Source organism: Homo sapiens, chromosome 14, assembly GCF_000001405.40.
Source record: "Homo sapiens chromosome 14, GRCh38.p14 Primary Assembly".
Classification (NCBI taxonomy): Eukaryota; Metazoa; Chordata; class Mammalia; order Primates; family Hominidae; genus Homo; species Homo sapiens.
The window spans coordinates 87230395-87247026 of NC_000014.9; the positions used below are offsets into that span (position 1 = coordinate 87230395).

Genomic DNA, 16632 nt, shown 5'->3' on the forward strand with positions numbered 1-16632 from the left:
CACATCCAGGTCATGCTGATGCAAGAGGTGGGCTCCCATGCCTTGGGCAGCTCTGCTCCTGTAGCCCCCATCCCAGCTGCCTTCACAGGGTGGTGTTGAGTGCTTGTGGGTTTTCCAGGTGTACGATGCAAGCTGTCAGTGTATCTACCATTCTGGGGTATGGAGGACAGTGGCTCTCTTCTCACAGCTCCACTAGGTGATGCCTCAATGAGGACTGTGTGTGGGGGCTCCAATCCCACATTTCCCTTGCACTGCCCTAGCAAAGGTTCTCCATGAGGGCTCCACCTCCTGCAGCATACTTCTGCCTGTACATCCTCTGAAATCTAGGCAGAGATTCCCAAATCTCAATATTTGACTTCTGTGCCCCAGCAGACTCAACACCACATGGAAGCTGCCAAGGCTTGGGGCTTGTACCCTCTGAAGCCATGGCCCAAACTGTACCTTTGCCCCTTTTAGCTATGGCTGGAGTAACTGGGATGCAGGGCATCAAGTCCTGAGGCTGCACACAGCAGGGGTCTCTGGACTTTGTCCAGGAAGCCCATTTTTCCCTCCTAGGCCACCAGGTCTGTGATGGGAAGGGTTTCTGTGAAGGTCTCTGACATGTCCTGGAAGCATTTTCCCCATTGTCTTGGTGATTAGCATTTGGCTCCTAGTTACTTATGCAAATTTCTGCAGCAGGCTTGAATTTCTTCACAGAAAATGAAAAAACATAAAGAAAACATAAAGACTTCTTTATTCCCAAGCCCTGAAGGTGTGTAAACTTTTGGCTCTTTAGACTTAAACTCTAAGAGCTTGGTTTAATTTGTAGAGAAATCTGACAGTGTACAAAAATCCAGTAAATGCCAAATAATCCAATAGCAAACAAAAAGTCAACCCAACAATAAATACATATGGGGTTGAAACTTAGATCTAAGATGTTTCTGTATGTTGATTGATAGGGATAGATGGTATTTATAAAATGAACAGGAATAGGTGGCATTTATGAAAGAGAGACTACATAGAGAAAGAAGGTAGAGGTCAGAATCCTAAGGAATGCCTGTGATTAGAGGTTAAGATGTAGAGGAAGTCACAGCAAATGAGGCTGAAAACTGGTGTGACAAAGCTGCGTGAGTGTTAAGTTAAATTTGAAGAAAATAATAAATGAGTCATTTTCAGTAACCATGAAGGCATACCATTCATGTTATGCTTGCTTAATAATTACTTGAGGGTGGAACTTAGAGTAAGGGGTGAGTTCTTATTGTATCAATTTCTCCTCTTTTTCAGTTTTACATTATACAAATTTGAAATCTAAGCCATATTAATAACCCCATTGTAATAGTCCTCCTTGAACAGAGTCTGAATTACTGTACTTTGTGGTTGTTGTTGTTGTTGTTTTGGTTTTGTGTTTGAGACATGGTTTTGTTCTGTTGCCCAGGCTACAGTATAGTAGCACAGTCATAGCTGTCTGAAGCCTCAACCTCCTGGGCTCAAGCAATCCCCGCACTTCAGCCTCCCAAGCTGCTGGGACCAGAGGTGTGCATCACCACACCAGGCTAATTTTTTTATTTTTTTGTAGAGATAGGGTTTTGCCATGTTGCCCAGGCTGGTCTTGAACCTCTGGACTCAAGTGATCTACCCGCCTCTGCCTCCAAAAGGATTAGGAGGCTAGGATTTCAGGCATGAGCTACTGTGTTCAGCTGATTACTGTACTTTAACAAGTATCATGATATGTTTTTATTTAACAAGGATACAACTGGACTTGGCAAGCACTGACCATAGGGACTTTAGAAGAGAAGAGGGGGAAAAGTAGGAGGGCTAGAAGCAGTACGGCACAGGGCTAAGTCAAGGGTCCTCAAGCACTCCTGTGCATAAATAAGATCCAACCTTAATGTTTACTAAAATGCAGATTTCCAGGCTCCACGTCCTAAGATTCTAATTCAAGTGGGAGGGGTGAGATTGTCTTGAATCTGCTATTTATGTGTGTGTGTGTGTGTGTGTGTGTGTGTGTGTGTGTGTGTGTGTGTGTGTGTGTTTCCAAGTCTGCCCTTTTATGTTGATGCAGGTTTTCCCCACCAAACTTTGAGAAAGTCTTAGAAAAATTGAGCGGTGAAACAGTACAAAGAACATGCACAAAATTCATTGGAAATCAGAATTCACTGAGTCAACTCCTAAATGCAGCTTGGTGGCTGATAACACAGTCCCAAAATGTTACAGAGTATGAGGAGACTCTCAGAAAGAGCAATAATTTAGTGAAAGGCTAAAGATGCTTTTTGATTCACATTGAAAAAAAATACACCTCTGGGAATAAAAGTTGTTATCTATAGGCCATTTCAAACAAGATTGTCAGTGGCCTCTCCTGCTCTCTAAGGCAAAAGTAATACTTAAGTAGACCATTACATGCTAAGGCAGAAGCTGAGAAGCAAAAATGAGAAAAGGGTCATTTACGCGAGTTACATATAATAGAAAAACCTGTGTTACAATTCCAGATGATTGGTACTGGTAAGGGATTATACAAGAAAGTTTCATGAAATTAGTTTTTCAATTGATTTCAATTATTTTATACTTCTCAGCTACTAAACCAAATTGACTAAAGGCATGAGATACTTAACTGTAAGATGGATGTTCCAAAGGGGTTGCTCCATTGCCGATGCAGAGGATCCTGAGGTTTTAAGTCATAAAGAGTGTGCTTCAAAATCACCTACCGGGCTTGTTTAAAGTGCAGATTCCTTGGCTTCAACCCACATCCACCAAACAGAATCACAGTAGATGGGCTGTAAACATTTGCTTTTTAAACAAGCTCCTCAGGACAAACTGATGTGCCCAAAGTTTGGGAATGAATGCTTTTGCTTCTTTTTCAAGTTTCTCAACCCCCTAAGCTGACAGTCTTACACAATGAACAAAGCTGGTCAAACTGGTTAATAAAATGTTAAAATATAGCAATTAGTAAATAACAGCTTTCCTGACACCCAACTTTCACTGTCAGTGCAAATGCCAAAATGACCACCTAATCTCTCCAAGTCCTAGCCTGGGGCACTTCTACTTCCCCATATTCAGCAGCTGAAACAATAACACCTGGGAGAGCAGGTGCTCAGAACTTCATTGCAGTGCTGTAGCTGGTCTGTTTTCTGTTTGGTTAGTCAACATGCCCCAGGGATCGTTAGCTGTTTTTACCGTTCTCCTGGATCCCTGTGGATTTCTAATGGGCAAACTTTTTAAAAGTACAAATTCTCAGACTCTAAGATGCTGGAGAATCTGATTTAGCAAGTCTGGGCATGTTACCATTTATCTATGTAGTCCCAAAAGCTTCCCAGGTGACTTTGGAGATCACCTAGGTTTGGAAACCAAAACCTTCCTACTCAAAGTGTGGTCTGGAGACCAGCATCACCAGCATCAGCTGAGAGCTTGTTAGAAATGTAGAATCTTAGCACCTCCACCTCACTCACACTGACCAAATCAGAATCTGCATTTCAAAAAGGTGTCCAAGTGATTCATGCACACTAACTAATACGGTTTGGTTCTGTGTCTTCACCCAAATCTCACCTTGAATTGTAATCCCCATAATTCCCACATGTTAGAGACAGGACCAGGTGGAGGTAATTGAATCATGGGTGTGGCTTCCCCCATGCTATTCTTGTGATAGTGAATGAATCTCACGAGATCTGAGGGTTATATAAGGATCTAAGCATCTAGCATTTCCCCTGCTTGCCTGTACTCCATCCTGCCACCCTGTGAAGAAGGTTCCTGCTTCTCCTTTACCTTCTGCCATGACTGTAAGTTTCCTGAGGCTTCCCCAGCAATGAGTAACTGTGAGTCAATTAAATCTGTTTCCTTTATAAATTACCCAGTTTCAGGTATTTCTTCATAGCAGTGTGAGAACGGATGAATACACTAACGTTTGAAAAAGACTAAGCTATTGTAATTCACAAATTCATTAAACTAGGTCAATGATGCCCAGATGAGAATTTTATTACAAAACAGCAAAAATAAGTAAGAGTTAAGGACTTAACCTATGGCTTAACGGGGAAAACCAAAGAAAAGAAAGCTTTGAAATTGCCTTCAGGAGAACAGAATATTTTAGGAGGCACTATTTGCCCTGATATTTGCTGTTTTCATTTTAGAGGGGTTAAATTGCTGGACATTGCACTCTCCACTTACAGTTTAAGCCTGGAGTGACTGAGATTAAGAAATTTCAGGCTGCTAGTGTCATTTTTCTAGTCACGCTCAGTGTTTCAGTTGTGTTGTCTTGCTTTATATTCTATACTGTCTTTTTTAAAAGTATAGGACATTACTAGAAGCAATCAACTTAAAATAAGCCTTTCATGCGCGTCCGTGTGAAGAGACCACCAAACAGGCTTTGTGTGAGCAACAAGGCTGTTTATTTCACCTGGGTGCAGGCGGGCTGAGTCCGAAAATAGAGTCAGCAAAGGGAGATAAGGGTGGGGCCATTTTATAGGATTTGGGTAGATAAAGGAAAATTACAGTCAAAGGGGGTTGTTCTCTGGCGGGCAGAGTGGGGGTCACAAGGTGCTCAGTAGGGGAGCTTTTGAGCCAGGATGAGCCAGGAGAAGGAATTTCACAAGACATTGTCATCAGTTAAGGCAGGAACAGGCCATTTTCACTTTTTTTGTGGTGGAATGTCATCAGTTAAGGCAGGAACCGGCCATCTGGATGTGTATGTGTAGGTCACAGGGGATATGATGGCTTAGCTTGGGCTCAGAGGCCTGACATGCCTGTCTTCTTATATTAATAAGAAAAATAAAATGAAATAGTGGTAAAATGTTGGGACGGTGAAGATTTTGGGGGATGGTATGGACAGATAATCGGCGATGTTTCTCAGGGCTGCTTCCGGCAGGATTAGGGGCAGCATGGGAACCTAGAGTGGGAGAGATTAAGCTGAAGGAAGATTCTGTGGTAAGGGGTGATATTGTGAGGTTGTTAGAAGAAACATTTGTCATTTAGAATTATTGGTGATGGCCTGGATAGAGTTTTGTATGAATTGAAAAACTAAACGGAATAAGAGAAGGAGAAAAACAGGTATTAAAGGACTAAGAATTGGGAGGACCTAGGACATCTAATTAGAGAGTGCCTAAGGAGGTTCAGCATAGCCTTGCCAGTAAAGATTATTTATTTAAGAGTTAAGAGTGGTGGTTTGGGGATAGCACAAGGAGATATCAGCTGTGATGGCTTGGAGAAACAGTGTAAACTGGCAGTGTAAACAAGAGCAGGGCACGTTTGAGTAGTTGAGAATGGTGAATAGGAGTATGACTAGACAGAAGACAGTAGGGATGACAAGTTTTTTTTGGGCACAGTCTAAGTTGGTCTGGTGTCTGGAATGAGACTGGGGCCTAATAAAAAGGAGCATCTATACAGGAGCTCAAATGGGCTGTACCCTGTAGCATTCTGAGGACAGGTCTGACTTCTGAGAAGGGAAAGTGGTAAAAGTATTGTCCAGTCCTTTTTAAGTTGGTGGCTGAGCTTGGTGCAGTGTGTTTTTAAAAGACCTTCAGTCCGTTCTACTTTTCCTGAAGACGGAGGACCGTAAGGGATATAAAGGTTTCACTGAATACTAAGAGCCTGAAAAACTGCTTGACTGATTTGACTAATAAAGGCTGATCTGTTATCAGACTGTATAGAGGTGGGAAGGCTAAACTGAGGAATTATGTGTGACAGAAGGGAAGAAATGACTGCGATGGCCTTCTCAGACCCTGGAGGAAAGGCCTGTACCTATCCAGTGAAAGTGTCTATCTAGACTAAGAGGTATTTTAGTTATCTGACTCGGGGCATGTTGAGTAAAGCTAATTTGCCAGTCCTGGGTGGGGGCAAATCCTCAAGCTTGATGTGTAGGGAAGGGAGGGGGCCTGAATAATCCTTGAGGAGTAGTAGAATAGCAGATGGAACACTGAGAAGTTATTTCCTTGAGGATAGATTTCCACAATGGAAAGAAAATGAGAGGTTCTAAGAGGCGGGCTAGTGGCTTGTACTATAGCATAGCCTGCCTTTGCTGGTGTGTGGTGATTAGGCCTGGTGGAACTGCCATCAATAAATCAAGCGTGATCAGGGTGAGGAACAGGAAACAAGGAAATATGGGGAAATGGGGTGAATGTCAGGTGGATTAGAGAGATACGGTCATGAGGGTCAGGTGTGGTATCCAGAATAATGTGGCAGGCCAGATTGAAGTCTGGGCCAGGAACAATGGTAATTGTGGGACTTAACAAAGAGTGAGTACAGCTGAAGGAGCTGGGGAGCAGAAAGTATATGCCTCAGGAATGAGGCAGAAAATAGATTTTGGAAGTTATGAGCAATGTAGAGAGTACGTTGAGCATAGTTTGTGATTTTGAGGGCCTCTAAAAGTATTAGGGCAGCAGCAGCTGCTGCACGGAGACATGATGGCCAGCCTAAAACAGTAAGGTCAAGTTGTTTGGACAAAAAGGCTACAGGATGCCATCCTGGTCCTTGTGTAAGAATTCCAACTGCACAGCCCTGCACTTCGGCTGTGTGTAATGAAAAGGGTTGGGATGAGTCAGGGAGAGCTAGAGTGGGGGCAGTCTCTAAAGCTGTCTTCAAGGAATGGAAAGAGGAGTGGGGAAAGGATTTAGGATCTATAGGGTCAGCTAGGTTTCCTTTTGTGAGTTTATATAATGGTTTTGTTAGGAATGCAAAACCAGGTATCCAAAGGCGAAAGTATCCAACCATGCCCAGGAAGGAAAGGAGTTGTTGTTTTGTAGAAGGGGTTGGGGTTTGAGAGATTAGTTGAACACGATCGGCAGGGAGAGAACGTGTGTTTTTATGAAGAATTATGCCGAGGTAGGTAACAGATGGAGAAGAAATTTGAGCTTTGGAGGGGGATACCTGATATCCTTTGGAGAATAAATGCTGAAGGAGCAGAAGTGTGTCTTGTTGAGAAGATTCAAAGGAGGGACTACAAAGAAGAAGGTCATGAATATATTGAATAAGGTGAGAAGCGGAGGGGTGGAAAGAAAGTAAATCATGAGAAAGAGCTTGGCTGAAGTAAAGAGGACTGTCCCTGAAACCTTGCGGCAGCACAGCCCAGGTAAGCTGCTGGGACTGATGGGTGTCAGGGTCAGTCCAGGTGAAAGCAAAGAGAGGCTGGGATGAGGGGTGCAGGGGAATAGTGAAAAAAGCATCTTTAAGATCAAGAACAGAATAGTGAGTTATGGAGGAAGGTATTGAGGACAAAAGAGTGTATGGTTTGGGCACCACAGGGTGGATAGGCAAAACAATTTGGTTGATAAGGCGCAGATCCTGAACTAATCTGTAAGATTTGTCTGGTTTTTGGACAGGTAAAATGGGGGAATTGTAAGGAGAGTTTATAGGTTTTAGAAGACAATGCTGTAGCAGGGGAGTGATAACAGGCTTTAATCCTTTTAAAGTGTGCTGTGGGATACGATATTGGCATTGAGCCGGGTAAGGGTGATTAGGTTTTAATGGGATGGTAATGGGCATGTGATCGGTTGCCAGGGAAGGATTAGAGATGTCCCATACTTGTGGGTTAAGGTGGGGGGATACGAGAGGAAGACACGAAGGAGGCTTTGGGTTGGGGAGAAGGGCGACAATGAGATGGGGCTGTAGTCTAGGAATAGTCAGGGAAGCAGATAATTTGGTTAAAATATCTCAGCCTAATAAGTGAACTGGGCAGGTGGGGATAACTAAAAAAGGAGTGCTTAAAAGAGTATTGTCTAAGTTGGCACCAGAGTTGGGGAGTTTTAAGAGGTTTAGAAGCCTGGCTGTCAATACTCAAAACAGTTATGGAAGCAAGGGAAACAGGCCCTTGAAAATAAGGTGATGTGGACTGGGTAGCCGCCATACTGATTAAGAAGGGGACAGACTTACCCTCCACTGTGAAAGTTACGTGAAGCTGGCATCAGTGATGGTCTAGGGGGCTTCCGAGGCAATCGGGCAGCATCAGTCTTCAGCCACTAAGCCAAGAAGATCTGGGAAGCAGTCAGAGAGCCTTGGGCCAGAGTTCTAGGGGCTCTGGGAGTGGCTGCCAGGTGAGTTGGACAGTCCGATTTCCAGTGGGGTCCCGCACAGATGAGACATGGCTTAGGAGGAATCCGGGGTTGCAGGCATTCCTTGGCCTGGTGGCCAGATTTCTGGCACTTGTAGCAAGCTCCTGGGGGAGGAGGTTCTGGAGGAATGCCTGGCCACTGTGGTTCAGGCATTTGGAAGTTCTTGTGTGCTGGAGATGTGGCTGGGGTTTGTCTCACAGTGGAGGCAAGGAATTGCAACTTTTTTCTATTACTGTACACCTTGAAGGTGAGGTTAATTAAATCCTGTTGTGGGGTTTGAGGGCCGGAATTTAATTTTTAGGGTTTTATTTAATGTCGGGAGCAGATTGGGTAATAAAATGTATATTGAGACTAAGACGGCCTTTTGACCTTTTAGGGTCTAGGGCTGTAAAGTGTCTCAGGGTTGCTGCCAAACGAGTCATGAACTGGGCTGGGTTTTTGATGAAAGAGCCTAAACTCTAACTGATTTGGGAGAGGGCGGATAAAGAAAAAGGAGCATTAACCTTGACTATGCCTTTAGCTTCAGCCACCTTTTTAAGAGGAAATTGCTGGGCAGGTGGGGGAGGGCTACTCACGGAATGAAACTGTAAACCGGACCGGGTGTGAGGAGGGGAGGTGATAAAAAGATTATAGGGTGGAGGAGTGGAGGCTGAGGAAGAATTGGGACCTACCTCAGCCTGAGGAGGAGGGGAGAGGTCAGATGGGTCTGTAGAAAAGGAAGATTAGAAAGACTCAGTGATGCTTGGGGTTGTGACTGAGGGGACAAGCAAGAGGGAAAGAAGGAGGATTTGGGATGAGTTGCATTGGGCACAGAGACTAGGAAGGGACCGATCTGTAAAAGGATGCCTGGACATCAGGCACCTCAGACCATTTGCCCATTTTATGACAAGAATTATTTAGATCTTGTAGGATGGAAAAATTGAAAGTGCCGTTTTCCGGCTATTTGGAACTACTGTCAAGTTTGTATTGGGGTCAAGCGGCATTGCAGAAGAAAATAAGACACTTAGATTTTAGGTCAGGTGAGAGTTGAAGAGGTTTTAAGTTTTTGAGGATACAGGCTAAGGGAGAAGAAGGAGGAATGGAGGGTGGAAGGTTGCCCATAGTGAAAGAAGCAAGCCTAGAGAAAAGAGAGAGTAGAGACACGGAGGGAAGGGGTTCGGGCGTTCTTACCCTCCAGAAAAGCGGGAAAGGGGTCAGGGTGTGGAAATAAGGGATTGGGGCACAGAGATATAAGAGGTTGGGGCATGGAAATAAGGGATCAGGGTGCAGAGATATAAGAGGTTGGGGTGCAGAAATAAGGGATCAGGGCACAGAGATATAAGGGGTTGGGGCATGGAAATAAGGGATCGGGGCGCAGAGATATAAGGGGTTGGGGTACTTGCCCCTCCCCTAGAAAAGCGGGATTTGCCACTAAGGGTGAAGGAGAAGGGGTTGGGGGTTTCTTGCCCCCCAGAAAGGCGAAGAAGGGGTAGAGACACAGAGAGAAGGGGTTGGGGTACTTGCCCCTTCCCCAGAAAAGTGGGACTTGGCGCTAAGGGTGAAGGACCAAGGCAGGTGTCCCTGCGTGGTCTGACACCTCTGAAACCTGGGTGAATAATCACAGAGGTGTCCCTGCAATGATTAAACACCAAGGGAAGGCTGCCTTCCCTAGTCTGTGACCGGTGCTGGAGTTTTGGGTACACGGATAAAACGTGTCTCCTTTGTCTCTACCAGAAAATGAATTGAAATTAAAAGAAGGGAGAGATTGAAGTGTGGCACCAAGATTGAAGGGAGAAAGAGGCTGAGGGATAGTGAGGGAGGTTGGAGAAGAGAGTAAAAAGAGGCCGCTTACCCAATTTAAAATTGGTGAGATGTTCCTTGGGCTGGTGGGTCTGAGGACCTGAGGTCGTAGGTGGATCTTTTTCACAGAGCAAAGAACAGGAGGACAGGGGATTGATCTCCCAAGGGAGGTCCCCCGATCCGAGTCACGGCACCAAATTCCATGCAATTCCATGTGAAGAGACCACCAAACAGGCTTTGTGTGAGCAGCATGGCTGTTTATTTCACCTGGGTGCAGGCAGGCTGAGTCCAAAAAGAGAGTCAGCAAAGGGAGATAAGGGTGGAGCCGTTTTATAGGATTGGGTAGATAAAGGAAAACTACAGTCAAAGGGAGTTGTTCTCTGGCAGGCAGAGTGGGGGTCACAAGGTGCTCAGTAGGGGAGCTTTTGAGCCAGGATGAGCCAGGAGAAGGAATTTCACAAGACAATGTCGTCAGTTAAGGCAGGAACAGGCCATTTTCACTTTTTTTGTGGTGGAATGTCATCAGTTAAGGCAGGAACCGGCCATCTGGATGTGTATGTGCAGGTCACAGGGGATATGATGGCTTAGCTTGGGCTCAGAGGCCTGACAAAGCCCTCTGTGTTTCTTTCTCTTTCTCTCTCCCTTGTTCTTTTATCAACCCATGTACTGAAAGGCAGTAAGATGTAGCAGAAAGATTCCTGAACTGCGAAGCAGAAGACCAAGGTTCACAAATTCTATCTTTTTCACTTTGTATTAATTAATAGTCACAACACATTGAATTCTTGAATTGTGCCAGGAACTTCAAAATCAGTCCTGAAAGAAAACTATTTTTCCAATTTAAAAATAAGGGAATTAAGCCTTCAAGAGATTAAAATAAATCATATCTAAAGTCACACTGCTAGTAAGTGAAAAGCAGAAATTTCAGACACTATCTGTTTAAGCCTAAATACCACCAATTATATCAATATTAGGAGAAGATGTGAACAAATTATTTAGATTCTTTGAATTCTATTTTTCCCTTCTATGAAATGCTGAGGCAGCATTTGGAGGTGGTATATTAAACAGACGTTCAGCTTGTGCAGAATCCCTCATGTAGCTTCTAACATCTAATAATTTAATTTTCTTTTGACACATAAATTTGTCTATGATAATTTTAATCTATAATGAATAACATAATCTTGTATCCAATTCTATAATTAAAATTTTCAAAAATATAAAATTATTTGTCACCCTTTAGGATTGGTACTTTTCCAAGATTCCACATCAGAAAATATACATACATACAAAGACCCATTCCCACACATCCTAAAGGTCTATTCTAACGCTCTAACGCATGGGCTGAAAATAACCAAACCCACTTGGAAAAGAACCAAGATGAAGCAGTTATTCTAGCTGACTTTGAGTCTATTTATAAACCTTCAGTAATGAAGACATGTGGTACTGGCATCAAGAGAGAGAAATAGAATAGTGTAACAGAATAGTCTAGAAATAAATTCACACATATATGACCAATAGGTTTTCAACAAAGATACAAAAGTAATTCAGGAGAATGAGGATAAACTTTTCTAAAAATGATACCTGAACAATTAGATATTTTTGTGCAAAGAAAGAAAAAGGGAAAAAGAAAGAAATTTGACCTATAAATCACAACATATACCAAAATTAATTCAAAATTACTACATACCTAAATTCAAATTTAAAATGTATGTAAATTCTAATAAAAATAAAAGAAAATATATTTTTACATTTTATTGGAAAGAGTTCTTAAACACAACACAAAAAGTATAATCCATAAAGAAAAAGATAATTTACAGTTCTCAAAATTAAGAATTTCTGTTTATAAAAAGCACTTTTAAGAAAATGAAAAGACGAGCCATAACAAAAAAGAAAGTAACTGCTAATCATATAGCTGATTAGTGACTTTTGTCCTGCATATATTTAAAAACTCTCAAAACTCAGGAATTACAAAACCCCATCCCTGCTTAAAAAATGGGCAAAAGAATGGGAAAGGCACTTATTTAAAGAAGATACATGAATGGCAAATAAACACATGAAAAGATACTCAAAACTCTAGGAAATTCAGATAAAAGCACATTGAGCTACCACTGTAGATAGAATTAGTAAAAGGGCTAAAATAAAAAATTCTAACAAGAATGAGGAGTAACTAACTGGATTGTTCATCTACTGGTAGTAGAAGTGTAAAATAGTACTATGATTTTGGAAAATAATGTAGTAGTTTTATACAAAGTTATACGTATTTCTCACCCATTCAATCTTAGATATTTACTAAAGAGAAATGGGAGCAAAACTCATAAAATCTGCATTTTCACAGAAGTATTATCAGTAAGAGCCCCAAACTGGAACCACCCAAAATGTCCATTAATAAGATGGATAAATGAATTGCAGTGTATCTATTAAGTGAAATATTATTCAGCAACACCAAAGAATGAACTATTGATACATACAACAACATGGGTGCATCTGCAAGTAAATATTCTGAGTAAAAGAAACCAAATAAGAAAGAAGATGCATTATACAATTCCATGTATATAAAATTCTGAAACTGCAAACTGATCTTTATTGATAGACAGCAGATCAATCGTTGCCTAGGGATGGGAGGAGGAACAGGAAAGCTGGATTGCAAAGGGATACAAGGACACTTTTGAGGGTGATGATTGTCTTGATTGTGGTTATGGTCTCATGGTATATACATATATCAAAATGTACCAAATGTAGCATTAAAACATGTATAGTTTGTTATATGTCCATTATTAGGACATATGTATATAACATTGAGGTACTTTAATGTCTTACATATTTATATCATGATGTATATAACCTTATATATGTTACGTATATCATATGTATGATATATAACATACCATACATTATATATTATATAAAACATATAATGTGTGTTATATATTTTATGTGTTATATATAATATGTGCTACATACGTTATACATAACGTATATGTTGTATGTAACATATGACAATGTTATATATAACATATATGTATATATGTGTATACATACATATATACACATATATAAATATATAAACATACATAACATATATTTATATATAAATTTATATATATATATATATATATATATATATATAAATTGAGGTTCATTATATATGTCCTAATAATGAACATCTAACAAATGGCACATTCGTTTTACAGGGCAAAGGACATTGGAGTTCTTTTTTACTTAAGGTTTGGTAGAATTCACCTGTATTACCACCTGTAATAGTCTATATTTTATGGGAGTAATTTAGTTTCTGGAATAAATTAGTAAATGGCTAATATCATAGTCTGTTTGTGTTTCAATTAGTTTTAAGAACTAATTATTGTATATGTTAGTTCTACCATTTTCCTGTAATTACAGTGTTGATTTCCTCTGATGCAAGCTAAGAAGCAATGGTTGACATCATGTTAGCAGAGTGGGGGTAGAAATCTAGAAAATTTTAGCACTTTAAGCAAAATTAGATGTGTGGGTTTTTTTTGATTCACATATAAAATCAAAGGGGCATTTTAAGTAATATTTCTAGTTAAGGTAACTTTTTTAACAAATACTGGTTTCAAAACATATGTATGTCTTATAATAGTTAACAATGTGAATAATATTTTTTTAAAAGGGTTGTGATTTTCCTAATTAAAAAATTTAAAAATTAATCTGTACTAATTAAATGCACTACAATCATTTCATTGTTCAAGTTTGCTTGCACTGCTTCCAATAAATGTTTAAAATGACAAATGTAATAATTATATGTTCAAATAATTAAATTATAAATGCTAGCCTATAAAAGTGGATTAATTTTTGTAATGTTAGAGGTAATAATGACTTAATTCCTTGCACTGTGTCAGTAAAAATTTCTGTCATATCTCTTATGAAAACACTTGTTTGTCAACATAATTTTAATATGTGTATTAAATAATGTATATAAAAAGTATATGTTAGGTAACAGTTTGGAAAGGATGAGTAGACAACATTGGGTCATAATGATATACATGTTTATATTTGCCACTTTAATAAATGTGTAACAAATACGTATGAGTGAATGAAAATATATATGTCCTCATGAGTCATAAAGTCTTTCCTGGAGCTCTGGTCTTCCAATCTGTGCTTAAGTATGTCAAAGAGCTGTCATTTACTTGCCTTACAGTTTTCCCTGTGCCTGTGGGGGACCAGAAGTAAATTACTTGGGTGAAAAGTTATAACTCTTATGTCTTGCTAGAACTATGTTCCTTATAATAGTTGTAAAACAATATGTGAATAAAAAATGGATATGTTTTTCCTCACTTTTTTTTTTGAGAAACAAAGAGATTAATTACGTCTTAAGTAAAATTGCCTTTTTGTGGCAGAAGGTGAAAAGAAGATAGTAAACAGCATAGTTAAGTTGTAGAAGGTTTGAAGAGTTATGATGTTTATTTACTTTGGTGTAAAATACTTGCAAATAATGAGTTTGAAAGCATTAAACTGTGTGAAATTTTTACAGAGTTGTTTCAGTGTTTATGGCTTTGTTTATAAGATGAAGACCTGGCTTACTACAGAAAAAAATGTTACGTTGGTTGTATAAAAAGGGGTAAAACTATAATTTGGTTTATTTTCCGTTAAAATAGTTTTTTTTTTTAATCTGTGTCTTCTTTGTGTTTTGTCTGGATAAGAAATATTTTATACCATGAGACCTTAAATTTTTGTGACTTTTGTGCATATTCCTGATTTTTTTTTTGAGAAGTCACTCTTGAAAAAGCAAAGGATCCTAAAAATCTTTGCCACTTGGTTCTATGTTTGAATATTACTTCAAACTTTTTGCCTTTATATGCCTCGAACTTATGTTCATGCTTTTTCTGCTTTGACAATTCTATTTGATATTACAGTTTTCAAATTCAGCCTCCAAATTCACAGTAACAGAATATCATTTGCACCTCACCTATCTTTGGGGTTTCCCAGGTTGTTCCTGGGCAATGCCAAAAATAAACTCATTCACTTTAAAAAATGAGAAGGGTAGAAATAATTAGGTAAGTTTGACATTTTTCATGTTTTTAATTTACTCAACATCATTGCAAGGGCTGTCCTGCTCATCAAACCAACAATATGAGAAGAGCTAGAAAAATCAAAAGAGAAGTTCAACCTTTCCAGGTTAATTACATATAAGTAAAATGATATCAATATGAATGTATTTACCCAAATGTGTACTTTTTATGTTAGACACAAGCAAAAAATCCTGTTCTTGTATAAACAATGGTGGAATAGCTGTCAACAAGTTGATGTTTTAAAAATGTTTTATATCGAAATTTAATTAGAGTGTCCATGTATTCATGCTCTTTGGCCAATTTTTTTTTAATTATGGGAGTTATGCCCATTGAAAAGACGGCACAAAGTTTGTGCTTGACCTTATATGGAGTTATCAGTAAGATCACCTTATCTCTGAAAGGCATTCAGGTCAGCTTTACTTCACTGGCCAGGGTTGTTATGAATAATAGAATGGACTTAGACTTCCTCTTTGCAGGCCAAGATGTAGTCTGTGTAATTGCTAACACATCCTATTGTACATTGATTAACACCTTGGACCGACTGGACAAGTCCATACAAAAATTTTAGGAAAGTGTCTGAGACAGTCTGAGAGACTGTCACGATTTCCATTCTTTTGCATTTGCTGAGGAGTGTTTTACCAGATTCTGCATATGAGTAAGATTATGTGATATTTGTTTCTATTTCTGGCTTATTTCACTTATAATATTCTCTAGGTTCATACAGGCTGTTGCAAATGACAGAATTTCATTCTTTTTATGGCTAAATAGTAGTTGTGTATATATATTATCCTGTTGTTATCCATTCATCTGTTGATAAAGACTTAGGTTGATTGCATATGTTGGCTATGGTGAATAGTGCTACAATAAACATGAGAGTGCAGATATCTTTCTGACGTACTGGTTTCATTTTCTTTGGGTAAATACTCAGCAATAAGATTGCTGGATCACATGGTAGTTTTATTTTTTATTATTTGAGGAACCTCTATACTATTTTCCATAATGACTATACTAATTTACATTCCCACCAACAGTGTATAAGTGTTTCCTTTTCCTCACATCTTTGCAACATTTGCTTTTTTCCATCTTTTTTTTTTATAATAGCCATTCTAACTGGAATGAGGTGATATCTCATTGTAGTTTTGATTTGCATTTTCCTGATGTCAGTGATTTTTTTCATATACTTTTTGGCCATTTGTATGTCACTTTTTGAGAAATGTCTATTTAGATCTTTTGCCTATTTTTAAATTGGATTATTTGTGGGGTTTTTTGATAATGAGTTGCTTGTGCTCCTTATGTATTCTGGATATTAACCTTTGGGCAGATCTATAGTTTGCAAATATTTCCTCCCATTATGTTGGATGTATCGTCACTTTATTGTTTTCTTGCTGTGCAGAAGCTTCTTAATTTGATGTAATCCAATTTGTCTATGTTTACTTTTGTTGCCTGTATTTTTGAGGTCTTTTCAAAAAAATCTGTGCATAGGTCAATGTCATGAAGCATTTTCCCTATGTTTTATTCCAGTGATATCATAGGTTTTGGTCTTACATTAAATCTTTAACTCATTTTTGCATTTATTTGTGTATCTGCTGGGAGATAAGAGTCTAATTTTATTCTTCTATAAGTGGATATTCAGTTTTCCTAGCATAATTTATTGAATAAATTGATCTTTCCTCAATGTGTATTTTTGCATTTTTGTCAAAAGTCAATTGGCCATAGATGTGTGAATTTATTTCTGGGCTCTCTATTCTGTTCCACTGGTCTGTTTTTATGCCAGTACCATGCTGTTTTAGTTACTATAGCTT

At 39.3% G+C, this 16632-nt stretch overlaps 2 annotated features.

The window, feature by feature from the left end:
- Positions 4266 to 4783: an enhancer, noted in NCBI's record as "NANOG hESC enhancer chr14:87701004-87701521 (GRCh37/hg19 assembly coordinates)". NCBI's record gives its function as "activates a minimal SCP1, AML or CMV promoter by ChIP-STARR-seq in naive H9 embryonic stem cells {active_cell/tissue: H9 hESC(naive)}" and the evidence as "EXISTENCE:reporter gene assay evidence [ECO:0000049][PMID:30033119]".
- Positions 10067 to 10868: an enhancer, noted in NCBI's record as "OCT4-NANOG-H3K27ac hESC enhancer chr14:87706805-87707606 (GRCh37/hg19 assembly coordinates)". NCBI's record gives its function as "activates a minimal SCP1, AML or CMV promoter by ChIP-STARR-seq in naive H9 embryonic stem cells {active_cell/tissue: H9 hESC(naive)}" and the evidence as "EXISTENCE:reporter gene assay evidence [ECO:0000049][PMID:30033119]".